The following is a 21866-nucleotide window of genomic DNA, read 5'->3' on the forward strand; positions in this document are numbered from 1 at the left end:
GAACTTCTTGATTTCTGCCTTAATTTCATTATTTACCCAGGAGTCATTCAGGAGCAGGTTGTTCAATTTTCATGTAGTTGTGTGGTTTTGAGTGAGTTTCTTGATCCTGAGTTCTAATTTGATTGCACTGTGGTCTGAGAGACTGCTTGTTAAGATTTCATTTCTTTTGCATTTGCTGAGGAGTGTTTTACTCCCAACTATGTGGTTGATTTTAGAATAAGCACCACGCAGAACCGAGAAGAATGTATATTCTGTTGTTTGGAGGTAGAGAGTTCTATAGATATCTATTAGGTCCACTTGTTCCAGAGCTAAGTTCAAGTCTTAAATATCCTTGTTAATTTTCTATCTAATTTTGATCTGTCTAATATTGACAGTGGGGTGTTAAAGTCTCACACTATTATTGTGTGGGAGTCTAAGTCTCTTTGTAGGTTTCTAATAACTTCTTTTATGAATCTAGGTGCTCCTGTATTGGATGCATATATATTTAGGATAGTTAGCTCTTCTTGTTGAATTGATCCCGTTACCATTATGTAATCCCTTCTTTGTCTTGTTTGATCTTTGTTGGTTTAAAGTCTGTATTATCAGAGACTAAGATTGCAAACCTTGCTTTTTTCTGTTGTACATTTGCTTGATAAATTTTCCTCCCTCTCTTTATCTTGAGCCTATGTGTGTCTTTGCACATGAGATGAGTCTCTTCAATACAGCACCTTTCTGTTTGTTAGTTTTCCTTCTAACAGACAGGACCCTCAGCTGCAGGTCTGTTGGAGTTCTAGAGGTCCACTCCAGACCCTGTTTGCCTGGGTATCAGCAGTGGTGTCTGCAGAACCGCAGATTTTCGTGATCCGCGAATGCTGCTGTCTGATCGTTCTTCTGGAAGTTTTGTCTCAGAGGAGTACCTGGCCGTGTGAGGTGTCAGTCTGCCCCTACTGGGGGTGCCTCCCAGTTAGGCTGCTTGGGGGTCAGGGGTCAGGGACCCACTTGAGGAGGCAGTCTGCCCGTTCTCAGATCTCCAGTTGCATGCTGGGAGAACCACTGCTCTCCTCAAAGCTGTCAGACAGGGACATTTAAGTCTGCAGAGGTTACTGCTGTCTTTTTCTTTGTCTGTGCCCTGCCCCCAGAGGTGGAGCCTACAGAGGCAGGCAGGCCTCCTTGAGCTGTGGTGGGCTCCAGCCAGTTCAAGCTTCCTGGCTGCTTTGTTTACCTAAGCGAGCCTGGGCAATGGCGGGCGCCCCTCCCCCAGCCTCGCTGCCACCTTGCAGTTTGATCTCAGACTGCTGCGCTAGCAATCAGCGAGATTCTGTGGGCGTAGGACCCTCTGAGCCAGGTGCGGGATATAATCTCCTAGTGCGCCATTTCCTAAGCCCGTCGGAAAAGCGCAGTATTCGGCTGAGAGTGGCCTGATTTTCCAGGTGCCGTCTGTCACCCCTTTCCTTGACCAGGAAAGGGAACTCCCTGACCCCTTGTGCTTCCCGAGTGAGGCAATGCCTCGCCCTGCTTCGGCTGGCACATGGTGCACTGCACCCACTGTCCTGCACCCACTGTCTGGCACTCCCTAGTGAGTGAACCCGGTACCTCAGATGGAAATGCAGAAATCACCCGTCTTCTGCGTCGCTCATGCTGGGAACTGTAGACAGGAGCTGTTCCTATTCGGCCATCTTGGCTCCTCCTGGTTCTTGACTCTTTATCCAATTTGCCAGTCTGTGTCTTTTAATTGGGGCATTTACCCCAGCAATGTAAAGTGTTGAATAAATATTTTTGTTTGTATGCAGTCTTCAAAAATATGTATGGTTGTTTTGTGGACACATAAGTCATACCCGTATGAAGATATAGAACATTTCTATCACCCTAGAAAGTTAAATCATGCCCATATCACGTCAATCCCACCCCCGCCCACAAATCAATTACTGTTCTGCTTTCCATTATTTGCCTGTTGTAGAACTTTATAGAATCAAATCATGCATTATATATTTTTTTGCTTCTTGTTTCTTCCAGTCAGTATAATATCTGTGATATTCCTCTGTGTTGTGTTTGTATTAGTAGTTCCTCCTTTTAATCTGTGAATTCTATTCCACTTTAAGACTGGATTTTACTTTATCATCATTTCCATTTTATCCAGTTTGCATATTCCTTTTCTTGCTGATGCACCTGAGCTGTTTCCAGGTTTTGAATATGATGAACACATCTACCATGTAAATTGTTACACAAGGCTTTTTGCATCAACATGATTTCATTTCTTTTAGATAAGTACCTAGAAGTGGGAATTCCTGGGTCATAGGGTAGGTGTATATTCAGTGTTATAAACAATCACAAAACCTTTAGGTTTTGTGATATTTTGTGTCTCTAATAAGAAAGGATGAGAATTACCCTTCCTCAACATTTTTCCCAACACACGGCATTATCAGTCCTTTTAATTTTAGATACTTAAAACAGTGTGAAATGGTATCTCATTGTTTCAATTTAACTTCAGAACCTATGAAAAGTTTTACATTCAGTTTTAATGTAGGTGTCTGCTAATTCTAACAACTATACAAATTCTGAGTCAATTGATTAGTCTCCTCATATTGGTCTTGTTTTCTGGTTTCATTTTTCATGCCTAGTCATCACTGAATGGATATAAGACATCATGAATTTTACCTTGATAGTTACTGGATTTCAAAAATTCTTATAAATATTCTTGAGGGTTTTTTCTGAAATTCATTTTAAATTACTGAGAAACTGTCTGATACTCTTGGGTGTTGCTTTTACGATTTTTAGTGGGTCTGGAGTGGTGCTCAGTGTAGGGTTAATTATTACTCACCACTGACACAAGATACTCTGCATAGACTACCCAATGCCCTATGAATTATGAGCTATTAGGTCTAACTGTTGTGAATAGGCATTATTCCCACCCCTGTGTGAGTACCGGGCACTGACCCTTTTAGTTGTTTCAGAATTTTTTTTTTTTTTTTACCAGGCTGAGGCTCTTTTCTCTAATGTATGCACTGATAATATTCAGATGAATCCTTGAAGTTACTCTCCACAGATATTTGGGGTTCTTTCTGTGGGCAACTCCCTTTTTGCTAGAGTTTGGACTTTTTCTTAGTGACCAGAGAATAGCAATGAACCATCATTTTATAACTGAAACAAAAACCATAACCCCCAAGTCTACCTATCCATGATCTGTAGTTCTCTTCCTTTTTTGATTGCTATTTCTTCCCCAGTGACTCTTATACTGTTTGTAGGCCTAGACGTTTTGTTTGTGCATTTTTTTGTCTTTTGCTATTTTAATCCCAGGTTATGAGAGCCAGCTGGGTGTGGTGGCTCACACCTATAATCCCAGCCCTTTGGAAGGCTAAGATGAGGAGATTGCCTGAGACCAGCAGTTTGAGACTGGCCTGGGCAATATAGAGAGACCTGGTTTCTACAAAAATAAAAAGTAATAATTAGTGGGTATGGTGGCATGCATCTGTAGTCCCAACTACTTCAGAGGCTAAGGTAGGAGGATCACTTAAGCCCAGGAGTTTGAGGCTACAGTGAGCTATGATTTTGCCACTTAATTTCAACCTAGGCTACGAGGTAAGACCTATCTCTAAAAAAAGAGAGCTTGTCACCTTCCTCTCTCTCACTTTGGGACACTTACAAGGGTGAATATAAGGAAAGGGAGGTGTTAACACATACTAATTCATCATCATGTCATAAATCAAAAGTCTGGCAAGCTGGTTTCAATGACAAAAATACATTCACACCTACTAGTCTACATTGTCATTGGATAAAATCCTTATCGCTCATAAAACACTAATCAACCCCAGCTACATATGTGAAATATAGCTTTGATCCTAATTCTTTTTCATTTTTTTCTAATTTTCTGCTTAACAGAAGTTCAATAACTAAAGGTGCCACTATTTCTAAACAAAATATTCATTATAGTCTAAGATATGTTCAGACTTTTGAGAATTCTGACTGCCATATTGAGAGAAAATATCCTTTTAATGTGCTATTAGAAAAGTTTATTTTCTACAATATACACTAAATAAAAGTATAAGGAATTTATATTTTATAGATATGACGAAGTATTATTTTCCTTACCTTAAAGCCATCTCTTAATTGTAGGATTAGTTCAAATTAGAACATCTATTTAATGGCAGAAAACAGTCTTAAAACTAGGGATCTTGAAAATACTTCTCCAAATCTCTATTTCAAATTCCTATGAAAAGTTGTTTTATGTATCTTCCAAAGTATATTTGTTTTATTTTTTCTAAGAAGTAGGATATATTTTAAAGTTTTCATAACCACCTAGATTTATTTAGTAACTTTTCTCTAAGAAATTAAAGTGGGCTTACTCTTGTAGATTTAACTCAAAAAAAAGTTCTAATAAATAGATGCAATGAGATATATTCTATTTTATTTTTATTTTATGTATTATTTAGAGTTTTGAACTTTTCATCCAGCAACATTCTGCCTGGCTGCCTCTTTGACTGTAAATCAGATCCCCTCAGATAGAGCATTGCTCCAATGAGGACTTGAGAGTGCTCATAGGTACATTACTTACTGAATTGCACTCCAGCGTCCTGACAGAACAAAGCACTGGCAAGTGTAACATAAATTTCCACAAAGAAATAACTTCAGCAATAAACTCTATTTAGGGATAAGAAAGAGGAGAATAACAGGGCAAACTACATAAACGTCATCACAACACAGCACATTAGATGACATTTTTACAGTGACATATAAAAATTACCTTGTAGAATCTTGATAGGAACTTACAGCCAAACTTTCTTACAGGAACATAAAGCCTTCTTGATATCATGAAAATCTGTTGCAGTTCTTCTCAGGAAAGTGGCTTTTCAGGAACATTGTAATTCTGTTTTAATATGGATGTAAGTGCTTTCAATTAATATTCACTATACCGAATAAGCAGGTCTAAACAATGTAATGAAATTAATTAATAAGTGATGAATTAAACCACTGATTAAACTTATTTGAAGACCAATTTTACTAAGTACATATAACGTTCTGACTTACATGATTGAACATATAGATTTAATAGGATAAAAATAAAATGCAATTTACTATCTCTACGTATGAAAAATAAATATATAACACAAATTTTGTTAGCTGAAACAAAGGAAAAATAATTCTTTTATAAAATAATCCTCCTGAATGAGAAACATATATACATAAACTGGGAAAAATTAAATATATATGAATACATCATTAAGCTGTAGAGACAGTGAAGAAACCACAGAGGGCTAAAATAACATGTAAACAGAAGCTGAGAAGCAAATGAAATGTGTGAAATTCAGCTTTTATTCTGAAAATTTCTGCCAAATTTTGGGAGACTAAAGTTTCCCGTTCCCCTAGGACTGTATGGGCTAGAAAGAACAGAAGTTTTTAATGTGACATGGGTAGTTTAATAAAATATGCCTGATAAATCTGGTACCCCAAAGTGCCCTATGATAAGCCAAAGAATGAATGAAAAATGAACCCATTATAAAGAAGGGACAGCAAAAATATTTATCCATTTTAAACTTGTAACTGGATGAAAGAAAAGAAAATCTCCCATGATATTTTGTAACCATGAACTGAGTGTCACATGGATTTTTGCTTGAATTTATGCTTACCCACATGTTCAGGAGTAAAACTTGGAGCAGAAATTTTAATTTAAAGTATGGTAAGGTTTGCAGTGCTCCCTGATGACTGATAGAAGAAAGTAAAATCATCTCTAGGGATGTGCAACATCAATTCATTAAACAAAAACTTTCCAAATATAAAGTTCCAAGGGAAATGAGCAGTTCAGAGTCAAAAATCATAAAAGAAACCACATAAGTTACAGATGACCCTCAAAGAATGTAAATATCAGAATTATCAGACGATTTTAAATATCTGAAGAAAAGAAAAAAACTGGGAACAAGAGCCTATAGAAAACAAGTAAGATTTGGGAGAGAACACTGCATTTTTATAAATAAAGAAGACTTCAAATTTAACATTTAAAACAAAGATTGAACAATAAAAAATAGCTTAGCTAATGAACTAGTAGACAGCTTATTCTCAAAAGCTATGTGGTAGTAATATGTTTTAAAAACTAGAATTGACATTTTAAGGACAAACTTCCAATTTACAGTCTGGTAGGTAGAGAGCTTAGAAGTTGTCACTCATTCCTACCAACAAGTAAAAAGCTGAACCAACTGGCGCGGTGGCTCATGCCTGTAATCCCAGCACTTTGGGAGGCCGAGGCGGGCGGATCACAAGTTCAGGAGATTGATACCATCCTGGCTAACACGGTGAAACCCCATCTCTACTAAAAATACAAAAAAATTAGCCGGGCGTTGTGGCGGGCGCCTGTAGTCCCAGCTACTCGGGAGGCTGAGGAAGGAGAATGGCGTGAACCCGGGAGGTGGAGCTTGCAGTAAGCCGAGATGTTGCCACTGCACTCCAGCCTGGGCGACAGAGCGAGACTCCGTCTTTAAAAAAAAAAAAAAAAAAAAAAAAAAAGCTGAACCAACTGAAAAATCAACGACTCTTCTTAGATCTGTCAGAGAAGTAATGTCACAGGGAAAATCACTGGCCTCCAAATTGGAGAGACAGATGAATACAGAGAATCACAACTTACCAGAGCAAAGACCCACAAGCTGAAACCTCCATGGGGACCAGTGCTGGGTAAGAAAACCTGAGCTGTAATTAATAAATTACTAGAGGCTCAGTATAGATTATTTTGAGAGTCAAAAAGTCCAGGGAAACCCAGTTAAAGGAGTACCCCTACACTTTTGTGAGCTTTAGCTCCTAGAGCTAAACCAGGTTTTGACAGTGAAAGAGGAGAAGAGAAATGAAAAAGAAAGAAGAGAATTTAAAAATTCCTTCATGCTCCTTGCAAGGGGAAGAAAAAAGTAATCATTTTGAAATTTACCAAAGTATTCTGCTATTGATAAGGCCTGCCCCTAGAAAAAACTGTTTTCCCAGAGCCTAGACTACTGTTTTGTTTGGGGGCCTAACTAAACTGGGGGAAAGGGAATACCCAACTCTAGCCTTCTCTAGCTTTCCACATAGAAGAAGAAAAATACCCAACTCCAGTCCAATCTAGCTATTCTGTCCCACCTGGGGCCAGGGATGGGGGGAATCCATGGGAGAAGTGAGAAGCACATGTGAGGTTAACAGTCCAGAGGCATAAGCTCATTAAAACACTGAGACCTAATCAGGCAACTGTAGGACACTTTCCCTCCTCTGACATCTTATCACCTCATTCCTAAAGGCCTATTTATCCTGTTACCCAATACATCATGTCCAGCTATCAGGAAAAAATTACAAGGCATACTAAAAGTCGCAAATATAGTTTGAAGAGCTAGAACAAGCATAAGAACCAAACTCATATGGCAGAGATGATGGAACTATCAGATGAGAAATTTCAAACAACTATGATTATTGTGCTAAGGGCTCTATTGGATAAAGGAGATAACACATCATAACAGATGAACAATGTCAGCAGAAGTTCTAAGAAAGAATAAAAAAGAAATGCTAGAGATCAAAAACACACTAATAGAAATGAAGAATGCCTTTGATAGGATTACTATTAGACTGAACACAGCTGAGGAAAGAATTTCTGAACTTGAGAATACTCAACGAAAATTTCAAACACTAAATAGCAAAGAGAAAAAAGGCTGAAAAAAGAACCCAAACAGTATTTAAGAACTGTGGAAGAACTACAAAAAGTGTAACATATGCAAACTAAGATGAAAGAGAAGAAAGCAAGGGAGAGAAAAGAAGAAATACTTGAAGCAATAATGGATGAAAATTCCCCCAAATTAAAGTCAGACACCAAAGCACAGATGCAAGAAGCTCAGAGAACACCAAACAGGATAAATGGAAAAATAAAAAAACCCTAGCCATATTATACTTAAACTCAGAATATCAAAGACAAAAGACCTTGAAAGAAACCAGAGAAAACAAAACATCTTATTAAATAGGAGCAAAAATAAGAATCATATCCAATTACTTCTCAGAAACCATGCAAGCAAAAAGAGAATAAAGTAAAATATTTAATGTGTTAAGAGAAAAAAAATCCCAGCAACCTAGAATTCTTTGTCCTAAGAAATTACCCTTCAAAAGTGAAAGAGAAATAAACACTTCTTCAGACAATAAAATTTGAGGAAATTTGTAACCAATTTATTTGTATACATAAAATAAATGACAGCAATAATAAAATAATGAGGGTTATTTTATTACTATAAAGTACTCACAGTACTAAAGCAGCATTAAAGAGTGGATTTTAATGAATTGTAAATCTATATTGCTAACTCTAGGGCAACCACTTAAAAATAGGAAAAAAAATATAACTGTTATGCTAAGAAAGGAGATAAAATGGTATTAAATAAAATGCTCAATTAAAAGCATCAAGGGAAGAAAAAGTAGAATTCAAAACTGTGAATAAAGGACAAGGGTAACAAATAGAAAACATTAGCGAATACAGTAGATGTTATTCCAAGTATGTCAATAATCACTTTAAACATCAACGGTCTAAATATACCAATTAAAAGACAGAGATTGTCTGAGTGAATAAAAAAACAAGACCTAACCATATGCTGTTTACAAGAAGCACACTTTAAATATAAAGACACATATATATTAAAAGTAACGGATTGAGAAAGATATATCATGCTAACATATCAAAAGAAATGAGGATCCAGACAATGGAATCTTATTCGGCACTAAAATTTGAGTAAGGTATTGAGCGATGAAAAGACTACTCAGGGAGGAACCATAATGCACATTACAAAGGGAAAGAAGCCAATCTGAAAAGACTGCGTACTGTATGATTCCAACTAAACGACAGTCTGGAAAAGTTAAAACTTATAGAGACAGTGAAATGATCAGTGTTTGCCAGTGGTTGGGGAAGGAAGAAGAATAGGTGGAGCACAGAGGATTTTCAGGGTGGTGAAACTACTCTCTATAGTACTAATGCTATATATATGTCATTATCAACTTATCAAAACCCATAGAATGTTTAACACCAAAAGTCATATAAACCATGGACTTTGATAATGATGTCAATATAGATTCACTGACTGTAACAAAAGTACCACTCTGGGGCAGGATTTTCATGATAGGGGAGGTTGTGTACAAGTGGGTGCAGGGGATATATAGGAAATTCATGTATCTTCCACTCAGTTTTGCTGTGAACCTCAAACTGATGTAAAAAATAAAGTCTATTTAAAAAGTTAAAGGAAAAAGTTTTACTTCCAGACACAAAGGTGTAACTGAATCAGACCAGCTATTCCCCCATAGTCAAAATAACTGATTGTCATGTTCTCCCTCCCTCTCTGTCCTTCTATATTACTTTCTGCACAGGGATAGTGTTAGTGCCTTCTGGGATGGGAGAAAGGTCCTTCGAAAGCTCAGAAGATTCAAAGAAGTCTGAGGAATCAAACTGGAGGAGGGATAAATTCACCCAGATAACACTATCCTTGGGGTATGGTGCCAGGTTCTCCAGCTAGGGCCCTGACTTTGACATCTCACAACTACATCTGTGCATTGAACTGTGTTGAAAGTTCACCTGCTCTGACTCTTAGACAAGGGTTTGGTCTTCAGCTCTTTCTGCTAATCTACTGCATGAGATAAGGGCTTCTTTGTAAGCTGCCAAAGCACTCTGGCTCTCATGCTTAGTTTTCAATGACTTGCTAATTGAGCATGGCTTGCATTGTCAAACCACTCCTCATGCCAACTATGCTAGTCAGGTTCTCCAGCAATCAGACATTGAGATAACATTAGATTTACAGAAGTTGCACTGACAAGTAACGTCTTAGAAAAAAACCAAACACCGCATGTTGTCACTCACAGATGGAAACTGAACAATGAGAACACAGGGACACAGGAAGGGGAACATCACACACCGGGGCCTGTTGTGGGGTGAAGGGAGGGGGAATGGATAGCATTAGGAGATATACCTAATGTTGAATGACGAGTTAATGGATGCAGCACACCAACATAGCACATGTATACATATGTAACAAACCTGCACGTTGTGCACATGTACCCTAAAACTTAAAGTATAATAAAAAAAATAGATAAAAGAAAGGAAAGGAGAAAGGCTTACGGAGAAGAACTCATCAGACGGTGATATAAGATCTCGCAAAATATTGGCCAACCCCATGGGAAGCTCTGGAACAAAGATTTGCTTTTAGAAGAGCCTCATATTGGGTTAAGCCATTGGCAAGAAGAAAGTAACCTCAACTCAAAACCTGAGGTAGACCCTAATGGAGCTAGCAGCTAGAGGCTGACAGCTAACCACACTCCTTGCTATGGGTAGAACCATTTCTTTACAAAGGATCTAAGATATTCTTTTTCATCTGACACAAACACTATCAAATAAGTAGACATAATGGACATTTGGACATAATGGACATATGGACATCTACAAATGGAATGAATATCTACAGATGGAATTCCATGTATTCTAAAGATACATGGAATATTTACTAAGATAGTCCACCTGCTGAGGCATAAAAGATGTCAAATTCAGAAGGACTGAAATTATATAGAATAATATTCCTGAACAAAAATGGAGTTAAACTGTGAAGTAACAGTAAAAAAAATCTTAAACTTGTAAAACTCAGATTATGGTAATTAGCATATCCATCATCTAAAATATTCATTATTTCTTTGGGAACAAATTTAAGGCATGGAGGCATTATCCTAAGCAAATTAAGACAGAAACAGAAAAGCAAATATCGCATGTTCTCACTTATTGTAAGTAGAAGCTAAAAATTGGGTACTCATGGGCATAAAGATGGCAACGATAAATACTGGGGACTACTAGAGGGAGACAAAGTGCGGGGACAAAGGTTAAAAAAATAATTCTTGGCCGGGTACAGTGGCTCATGCCTGTAATTCCAGCACTTTAGGAGGCTGAAGCGGGCGGATCACCTGAGGTCAGGAATTCGAGACCAGCCTGGCCAACATGGTGAAACCCCGTCTCTTCTAAAATTACAAAAATTTGCCAGGCATGGTAGCAAGCACCTGTAATCGCAGCTACTCGGGAGGCTGAGGCGGGATAGGATAATTGCTTGACCCCAGGAGGCGGAGATTGCAGTGAGCCGAGATCACACCACTGCACTCCAGCCTGTGCGACAGAGCGTGCCTCTGTCTCAAAAAAGAAAACAAAAACAAACAAACAAACAAAAACGCCACCTAATTCTTGGGTACTATGCTCAGCACCTGGACGACGCAATCAACTGTGCTCCAAACCTCAGCATCACACCATATACTTACATAATAAATACTTCCAAGCAACTGCTGATTCTAAAATAAAACTTAAAATTTATTTTTAAGAATAATATGATAAAAATAAAATAAAACATGAATGTAAAAAGGCAGTTTATCATTTAAGAGGTAATCTAGCTTAATTTTTTATGAAAGTGTCTCTCTAGCCTGTTATTAAGCACATACAGGATTGAGGAATTTATTCTCTAAAGTAGCCTGATTCATTTTAAGATGTTCTTTAATGGTTGGAAATTATTTTATGTTAAAGTTAAATTTTCCCTCCCATTATTTCCACTTTTCATCCTAGTTCTCTCCTCCAGAACCTCTCAAAATCAATCCAAACCTTACTACACATGAGTCCTTAAAAATAATCAAAAACAGTTATCAAATTTCTGATTCTTTCCTTCTGCAGATGAAACATTCTCAGCTCCTTCAGGTACCTTCTCATGTGATTTACAATGACCCAGAAATATTCTCATTCCTTGCCCTTCAACATTCTTCAATTTGATTAAAAGACCTCCAAAGGTGAGCTTTCCAGAAGAGAACACAATATCTTAGGTGAGGTCTTCCCCGTGTGAAATACAGAAGCCACATCCCACTCTCACAAAAATAAAATAAAATAAATTTAAAAGGCATGAAGGGCAGGCAGGAGTTAGCTTGGATAATTTCTTTGGTAGACATACGATTGATTACTTCTAATTATAATCTCCTTCTTGGGACTCATCAGGCCCTAAAACTGGCTAAATAGTTTTATGCCTCATGGCCTTTGCACAAGCTGTCCTGGTGAAACTAATATTTGTACTAAAAATACAAAAATTAGCCGGATGTGGTGGTGGGCACCTGTAATCCTAGCCTCTTGGGAGGCTGAGGCAGGAGAATTGCTTGAACCCGGGAGGCGGAGGTTGCAGTGAGCCGAGATTGCGCCACTGCACTCCAGCCTGGGTGACAGAGCAAGACTCTGTCTCAGAAAAAAAAAAAAAAAAGAAAGAAAGAAAGAAAGATCTTACCATACTCTTCATATTCACCATCCCAAAAAGGCTGTTCCTTATCACTTTTTCCAGGGCAACCTTTTCACCATTATTCTCTGACCGAGTCTAATGTTTATTTTCTTCAGAAAAGTTACCAAAGATGCAATTATTAATTTGCTTGTTATCTTGTCTTTGTCTCTCCCACTAGAATATAAAGTAAAAGTTTGGTAAACAAACAAACAAAAAATTAAAAACTGCATCTGTTCATTTCATTAATATCCTGCCAGCCTTTCGCACAGTGCATGCATAGTGTACAATTAACACCCAAAAATACTTGGTAAGTTAATAAATTAAAAAATGAAATGGTGACCAACAGGTTTTTGGTTTTGCGACTGGATACATAAGCCAAGACTAACATTACAAAAGGACAAGTATGTTGTGGGGGGAAAAAGAGAATCATGAAGGAGTCTAAGTTTTTTGGGGTCTGTCTAATGTCTAGATTAGAAATAAGGATCTGGATCTAGAAGCCACACCTAAAAAATAAATTTATATAGCACGGTCACCAATCTATTTGACATAGTTAAAGTTGTAGGATTAGATGAGGAAATAATCAGATGTTATAATAAAGAAATAAGAAACTAAGGGACACAGAATGAGAAATTAATGTCTAAGGAAATTAAAAGCAATCCGAGAGGTAGAAGTGGAACTACAGCCCAATAATTCCATTGTTTCAAGAAGACAGAAGTGACAGATACCGTCAGATGGCAATAGAAGAGACCTGAAAAATGTTTATGGGTTTTGAAATTTAGCAGTTATTAGTAACTTTTGAGAGAGAGCAGTTTAATGGTATTTTCGGAGCAGAAGCCCGAGAGTCATGCAGTAAACAGGTCAGAAAATAAAAGGGTAAATAAGAGCACTCTGTCAAGATGATTGATTGAATTGCATATAAGAAAATCAAGGTAGCAAGCAGAGAAGTACCCAAGGACAAAGAAGGTGTTTTTTTTTTTTTAGTTTGTTTTTAGATGCAATAGATTTGTACATATTTATCACCTAAGGGAAAGAGCCACTGGAAAGGAAAGCATTAAAAATATAAAGAAAATGGGGACATTTGAAGAATGACTTATGTGTGATCACAGGAAGACAGCGGAATGAGTATTCATGAGTATAGGCATTAGATATTAGGTAGGAGGCACCTGTACCTCCTGCTTGTGGGGAACTCTCATTGGTGCACAGAAGTTAAAAGAATGATAAATGTTTAAAGGCATTTATATCACAAAGATACAAAGACAGAGTAGACAAGTAAACTTATTCCTCAAAAGCACGGAGGCCCCCTTGGAGTTGGAGATCATTTACTTGTAGTGGCACAAAGTGGCACCAAAAAAATGCATGCCTATGTTATGTTCTCCATCACTGTTCCACTCACTTGGTAAAAGATAGTACAAAAAGATAAAAGGATTGACCTTGGGCTGGAAGTCTGTAAGGCAGATGGAGAAGAATAATTTGAGGGAGGAGGATTAAAGGATACTGCCTTTATAAAGATGGAAAGAGGCCTAGCAGTGTAATTTGACAGGATATGTGAAAAATAACAAATTAAAGGAGAGACCACAAAGCAAGTGGATTGCAGAGAGGGATAAAGGTCCATCTGAGATTTGTGAATAAGGAGATGTCTAATCTATGTCCAAATCAAATACATAGTTGGATACTTGAGTCTGACATAAAGGAAGAAATACGGACTGGGGTTATAAGTTTGGTATTCATCAGCATCAAATAGTACTTAAATAGGTGAGAATGATATGATCACCTAGGGAGTAAACAAAGATAGAGGAGAAAGGAGAACCAAAGACTGAGCCCTGGGGCTCTGGAGCACCAAGACGTTGTAGAGATGAGAGAAGAAGGTTTAGAAGGAGTACAGCAGACAGAATTCTTAAATTCCTGTCTCCTGGTGTACAAACCCCAAATAATCCCCTCCCCTTGACTGTAGGTGGGACTTAATAACATAATTAGATCTTACTCCCATGAATAGGTTATATCTTATGGGAAAGATGTAATTAAGGTCCCTAATCAGTAGATTTAAATTACTAAAAAAGGAACTTATTCTGTATGGGCATGACCTAATCCAGCAAGGTATTTTATTATTTTATTCTGTTTTATTTTACTGAGAAAGGGTCTTGCTCTATCACTCAGGCTGGAGTACAGTAGCATGTTCACTGCTCACTGCAGCCTTGACCTCCTGGGCTCAGGTGATCCTCCCACCTCAGCCCCCTGAGGAGCTGGGACTATGGATGCACGTCAACATGCCTGCTTAATTTTTTATAATTTTTTCACAGAGACAAGAGTTTCACCATGTTACCTAGGCTGCTTTCAAACTCCTGGACTCAAGTGATCCACCCGCCTCAGCTTCCCAAAGTGCTGGGATTACAGGTGAGCCACTGTACCCCACTAAAATGTAAAATATTCTCTTCCTGGGCTTGAAGAATCCAACAGCCATGTTTTGAGAGGTTTTTGAGAGGGCCATGTAGCAAGGACCTGAAAACAGCCTTAGGAGTGGGAGTGACCCCGATCTAATAGCCAGCAAAACAACAGAGGCCTCAGTCTTAAAGCTGCAAGAAATGAGTTCTGACAATAATATGAAAGAACTCAAAGTGAATTCTTTTCCAGACAAACCTCTAGATGAGAAAATACCCCCGCCAACACTTTGATTTTACCCTTGTGAGACCCTGAGCCAGATTTTTGGCCAGCAGAAACTGTAAGATAACAAATGAGTATTATTTTAAGCCACAAAATTTGCGGCAACTTATGACACAGCAATGGGAAAACAACACTGAGAGTAATCATAGAAAATTACGAGTGCTGTTCTGGAAGCCAAATGATTAAAGAGGGAAGAATAATTAACTGTTGTCAAATGCTACTGACAAATGCAGTACAATGAGACCTGCGTATTAATTGTTGAATTTACTAAAGAGAAAAATTGTGGAATTATAGGGTAATTCAAGAGGAGATTTGCAGAAGTATAGAGGTGAAGCTCAAAGGAGACAAAAAAGTGGAGGGTTACCTAAGTTAGTAAATGAATAAAATTAAAATTTTCCAAGCATGTTCATTCTTCTGGAGTGTGGCATTTCTGACCAAATGTAAATTTAATACTTTGGGTTGCCTTCTTGTCTTCAGAAGAATAACCTCATCTTTCAGCGCATCTAAATGATGAATAATTAAAAGGATCCTCTTGCCCTTGCAGCATTTCCAAAACAAGATGAAAATTGAGAGGCATCTGAACAACAAAATTTCCACAAAAATAATGTTTTCAATATAGTTCATACTTTGTGTGTTTTATAAATTCTCCCCAACACACACGCATACATACACACACACACATAACTGTAAATTCTCCTACTTTTACAACTCTAATTATTCTGTACAGGTAGTACAGAAAAGCAACTTGAAGATGAAGTGCAGAAAACTATCTTCAGATTAAGGAGTAATGTATTATTTCTATAGGCTATATTCAATTAACAGAACATTTAGCATAAGCAATTTTCAAACACATACACACACACACACACCCCCCAACACAAACATAAGGTAAAATACATTTATTGCAAAGACATACAATCAACTACAACAGTGTAGTTAAAGGAATGCGTCTTTCTGTAGTTACTAACCCAGCTGAAGCAAATGCATTTTTTCCTAAAGTAACAATCATTTATTGTTAAATAACTATTGTTTATGTTTATCGAAAAACAATGCAGTGTAAAGCTAATATCTCTGTTCCTATTTCTTAGTTTATTTCTTTTGAAGATTGGTAAGGTGTAGAGATATTGATTTTATTCTCTAATAATCATTCCTTAAACTGTATTTCTGAATGCCATTACAACCCCAGGAAAAGAGAGCAAGAACAAGTTTAGTGCTCTGTTTGCCCATTTGTGTAGCACAAGTGGTACCAATTTCTAATAATGTGCCTACATTTATGGAGCAGCCGTTTGAGTTTTCAGCCTTGCTGGAATCGTGTTTTAGTTATAAAAAGGCCATACCGATGAGTTTTAGAGTGGATATGCGTTCATGTGAATCTACCCTAGAAGAGGAAGCACTGTGTATCCACAGGAGTCTAGTGTTGAATCTAAAAAGAGAAGCAAATGGTATCTCAATTCTGAGAACTGTTTCTCACATCAAATTGCATTCACTTGAACATAGTGAAAGTTGTTTTGGTGCATCTATTCCCGTGATTCAGTAAGGCACATGCTTTATCTTCTCATCATAAAAGGTGTAAACACTCTTATATGAGTTTCCTGGTTACTGAAAGAAGACACCAGTGAAGAGGTATTTATGCTAAAGTGAATATCCTCATTAACTTAGTCACTGATCTACTATTGTAAGAGGAAGTCTATGCTAGTTGTACAATAAATACATTATGATGGAACTTATATAAAATAAACTCTTGCCTTTTATTCATTTTTTGAATGATTGTTACCTCACCTTGGGAGAACAAAATACACTCTTTGTGTTGCTGTTGGCTGGTACAGAAAGTATTGGCATGAGTTAATCTACCATTGTTGTGGGTAGAAAAAAATACTCTTTTTCTCTGCTTGAATCCTAAGACTAGTTACAAGTTTTCACAACAAATAAGATGATATAAGAATAGTACTTGGCTTTTTATACAGTAAATTACACCAGTGACATGTAAAAGGTGTAGAGAAAAAAATATTCTCTGACACTGAAGAAATATTTATAGATTTATAGGCACTTGTATTAGTCAGAGTTCTACCAGATATAGACAGAGATGAGACAGAGATAGAGATAAAGATAGATAGAGATGATAGAGATAAACAGAGATAGATGGAAAGAAGGAGGAAGACAGAAAGGGAGAGGGAGGGAGAGAGAAAAAAAGAGAGAGATTTCAAGGAATTGGCTTCCACAACTGTACGGGTGGCAAGTGCTAAATCTTTAGGGCAGGTTGACAAATTGGACAGTCTCCCGCAGGAGGTGACACTGTAATCTACACTCAGAGTTTCTTCTTCCTCAGAGAAGCCTTGGTTTTGCTCTTAAGGCCATTCAACTGATTGGATGACGCCAACCCAGATTATCAAGGACAATCTCCTTTACTAAAAGTCAACTGATTACAGATGTTAACCACATTTACAAAACACTTTAGTTAGTGTTTAATTGAAAAACTGGGTACTATAGCTTAGCCATGATGATGAATAAATCTGACCATCATAACATCCATGACTTAAAAGGCACTGGGCTAGCATAAAGAAGTCTAGATTGAGTAAGCCCTCCTGGGGCTTAGAAGCTGATAGAGAGAATCATGTTTGGAACATGACATAACAAAATTTGTTATAAAAACAGAGAGGAGTCTGGAAATCAGGCTGCATATGTAATACACATTATAAAGATATCATATGCCTAGTACAAAAATAACACAAACAGGAAAAGTTCTGAATGGAACCTACTACATACTAAATTACCACATGATATAAGAAGCATCATCAATCAACCCAAAAATTGTCGATTATTGAAGAAATTGGGCTGGGAAAATTGAGTACTAGGGAAAAAAATTGAGTTTGACACTGCTATCAAAAATTGGTTTGAATAGTTGAGAAAAGTTAAATGTGGAAATTCTGATAAAATGGCAATGTAGGAAAAGCATGTGACACTCATGACCAAACCCCCACTATAACTCCAACTCCCCCCGACCACCACCAATGCTTGAGGAAAACAAGTGAATATAAAAATAAGTAAAACCTTATATCAGCACTGAAAACTAGCAAACTTGTGATGCACTTTTACCAGTTTTGAAGAATTGTTGCTATATAAAGCACATGCGGGATCGAAATAAAAGAAAGAATAAGTTCAAGACAGCTCACTAGTAAATGCTCAGTGCTCATTCCACGATCAGAAAACCTTAACAGAAGATTTCAAGACCTTCTACCTCAGAAAGTTAGGAGCAACACTGAAACAACCATACTGTTATTTAAGGCTTTCACCTTCCCTGGGTGCCTACAGGAAAGCAGTTCAGACAAAATATATCTTATCATGTAAAGTAAGATAAGATAAACGAATAAGAAAACTGATAAATTAGATATAAAGGATATGTTAGAAAGTATAAACAAGTATTTTATAAAACTGTAAGCTAAGTGGCTCACACCTGTAATTCTAGCACTTTGGGAGACAGAGGTGGGAGGATTGCTGGAGTCCAGGAGTTTGAGACCAGCCTGGGCCACACGGTGAGACACCATCTCTACAAAATTAGAAAATTAGCCAGGAGCGGTGGCATGCACGTGTATTCCCAGCTGCTCTGGAGGCTGAGGTGGGAGGATCACTTGACCCAAGGAGTTCAGAGTTGCAATGAGCTATGATCTCTTCTCAGGAGACCACCAAGAAATACATGAATTATTGGGGTAAAAGGACTATTTCAGGGAAATCCAGAAAACTAATGAGTTTTGCTTTTTAATTAAATTGGTTTGATGAATGGGCTCTGTGTTCAGAAACAGGAGCTCAGCAGGAGAGGCCATGAAGCAGTGAAGTGCTAGGAATGGGAACATACCTTGCTTGGGAGGCCAAAGGGGCACACACCAAATCAGTGAAGATAGGAACAAAATACACCTGGGTCCCCAAAGGGCAAGAGGAACTTTGATGATATATGAGTTCCACACATTTAATATATGATGTGCCCACCCAAATTAAGGAAAAGTAAAGAAATGGATGAATTAATCAAAAATGTTTGCTTGGGATGAGTGGTTAACAAATCAGTTCATAATAATGATAATATTAAAACTGTTAGAACCCGAAACAATTTACATAATAACTTCCATAATCATTGAGAATTTTATAAGAAAGCACAAACAACCTAGATGAGAGTACAGGGGAATATTTATGTAACCTTAGCCCTTCATTAAACAAAGGCATATCAGAAATTCTTCACAGATTTGATCAAAAAAATTATTAAAATCATAAGCTCAATCAAAAGGTAACAGGGAAAATTTATGGACTGATTTCTTCTGGCATTATTTTTAATTTAATTATTGATATCAAGCATTATTTGTATAGCAAGAATATTAACTGTTTTCTGTAAAAACTGTAGCAATGAACATAAACAGTTAATTCCCAAGAAAACAGCCATAAAATAAACATAACTTTTGATCCAGTGACTACAGTTATAATGTAAGAAATGATGAAGGATATAAACAAGGGGGTTGGCTGCAAAGATTTACAGTGCACCACTGTTTTCTCCTCCATTGGATACACTGCCCACTGTTCCCATGATGTAGGCACACTGAAAGCTCAGACTTCACTACTATCCAAAGTATCCCTGTAACCATAAACCACTTGTACCTCGAAAGCTATTGAAATCCAAATAAACTTTTAAAAAACATTGTTTTCAATGGCAAAATGTTATAAACAAATTAAATTATCTACTAAGACAGAAATAAGTGAATTATGGTCATAGAAAACTCAATAATCAAATTCTAGACATCTATTAAATTGAAATTATTAAAGAATAGTTAAAAAACATTCGTCAAAATATATTAAATGGAAAAAGCATATCATCCTACCCAATCTGAATTTTATGAAAGACATTTCCTAAGTAGGATCCATGAATTTCTATGAAAAATGAGATTTAAGACTTTGTGGGGAGGAGCCAAGATGGCCGAATAGGAGCAGCTCCTGTCTACAGCTCCCAGCGCGAGCGACGCAGAAGACGGGTGATTTCTGCATTTCCATCTGAGGTACCGGGTTCATCTCACTTGGGAGTGCCAGACAGTGGGCGCAGGTCAGTGAGTGCGCGCACCGTGCGCGAGCCGAAGCAGGGCGAGGCATTGCCTCACTTGGGAAGCGCAAGGGGTCAGGGAGTTCCCTTTCCGAGTCAAAGAAAGGGGTGACGGACGCACCTGGAAAATCCGGTCACTCCCACCAGAATACTGCGCTTTTCCGACCGGCTTAAAAAACGGCCCACCACGAGATTATATCCCACACCTGGCTCGGAGGGTCCTACGCCCACGGAGTCTCGCTGATTGCTAGCACAGCAGTCTGAGATCAAACTGCAAGGCGGCAGCGAGGCTGGGGGAGGGGCGCTCGCCATTGCCCAGGCTTGCTTAGGTAAACAAAGCAGCCAGGAAGCTCGAACTGGGTGGAGCCCACCACAGCTCAAGGAGGCCTGCCTGCCTCTGTAGGCTCCACCTCTGGGGGCAGGGCACAGACAAAGAAAAAGACAGCAGTAACCTCTGCAGACTTAAATGTCCCTGTCTGACAGCTTTGAAGACAGCAGTGGTTTTCCCAGCACGCAGCTGGAGATCTGAGAACGGGCAGACTGCCTCCTCAAGTGGGTCGCTGACCCCCGAGCAGCCTAACTGGGAGGCACCCCCCAGCAGGGGCACACTGACACCTCACACTGCAGGGTATTCCAACAGACCTGCAGCTGAGGGTCCTGTCTGTTAGAAGGAAAACTAACAAACAGAAAGGACATCCACACCAAAAACCCATCTGTACATCACCATCATCAAAGACCAAAAGTAGATAAAACCACAAAGATGGGGAAAAAACAGAACAGAAAAACTGGAAACACTAAAAAGCAGAGTGCCTCTCCTCCTCCAAAGGAACGCAGTTCCTCACCAGCAACGGAACAAAGCTGGATGGAGAATGACTTTGACGAGCTGAGAGAAGAAGGCTTCAGACGATCAAATTACTCTCAGCTATGGGAGGACACTCAAACCAAAGGCAAAGAAGTTGAAAACTTTGAAAAAAATTTAGAAGAATGTATAACTAGAATAACCAATACAGAGAAGTGCTTAAAGGAGCTGATGGAGCTGAAAACCAAGGCTCGAGAACTACGTGAAGAACGCAGAAGCCTCAGGAGCCGATGCGATCAACTGGAAGAAAGGGTATCAGCAATGGAAGACGAAATGAGTGAAATGAAGTGAGAAGGGAAGTTTAGAGAAAAAAGAATAAAAAGAAATGAGCAAAGCCTCCAAGAAATATGGGACTATGTGAAAAGACCAAATCTACGTCTGATTGGTGTATCTGAAAGTGATGGGGAGAATGGAACCAAGTTGGAAAACACTCTGTGGGATATTATCCAGGAGAACTTTCCCAATCTAGCAAGGCAGGCCAACGTTCAGATTCAGGAAATACAGGGAACGCCACAAAGATACTCCTCGAGAAGAGCAACTCCAAGACACATAATTGTCAGATTCACCAAAGTTGAAATGAAGGAAAAAATGTTAAGGGCAGCCAGAGAGAAAGGTCGGGTTACCCTCAAAGGGAAGCCCATCAGACTAACAGCGGATCTCTCAGCAGAAACCCTACAAGCCAGAAGAGAGTGGGGGCCAATATTCAACATTCTTAAAGATAAGAATTTTCAACCCAGAATCTCATATCCAGCCAAACTAAGCTTCATAAGTGAAGGAGAAATAAAATACTTTACAGACAAGCAAATGCTGAGAGATTTTGTCACCAGCAGGCCTGCCCTAAAAAAGCTCCTGAAGGAAGCGCTAAACATGGAAAGGAACAACCGGTACCAGCCGCTGCAAAATCATGCCAAAATGTAAAGACCATCGAGACTAGGAAGAAACTGCATCAACTAACCAGCAAAATCACCAGCTAACATCATAATGACAGGATCAAATTCACACATAACAGTATTAACTTTAAATGTAAATGGACTAAATGCTCCAATTA

At 38.2% G+C, this 21866-nt stretch overlaps 1 long non-coding RNA gene across 1 annotated transcript in view, besides 1 other annotated feature; it reads right to left on the reverse strand.

Annotated features, from left to right (window-relative positions):
* Window positions 1–21866, reverse strand: part of LOC101929028 (uncharacterized) — a 382849-nt gene that overhangs the window by 277710 nt on the left and 83273 nt on the right. The window contains exons 4-6 of the long non-coding RNA XR_007061175.1: window positions 15250–15462; window positions 12237–12401; window positions 4718–4840 (exon numbers count right to left, since the gene is read on the reverse strand). This is a non-coding gene — a long non-coding RNA (uncharacterized LOC101929028). The remainder of the gene's footprint in view (window positions 1–4717; window positions 4841–12236; window positions 12402–15249; window positions 15463–21866) is intronic.
* Window positions 9569–9769: a silencer, noted in NCBI's record as "peak6924 fragment used in MPRA reporter construct". NCBI's record gives its function as "represses an SCP1 promoter by STARR-seq MPRAs in K562 erythroleukemia cells {active_cell/tissue: K562}" and the evidence as "EXISTENCE:reporter gene assay evidence [ECO:0000049][PMID:32103011]".

This window comes from Homo sapiens, chromosome 8 (assembly GCF_000001405.40).
Source record: "Homo sapiens chromosome 8, GRCh38.p14 Primary Assembly".
In the NCBI taxonomy this organism is placed as follows: Eukaryota; Metazoa; Chordata; class Mammalia; order Primates; family Hominidae; genus Homo; species Homo sapiens.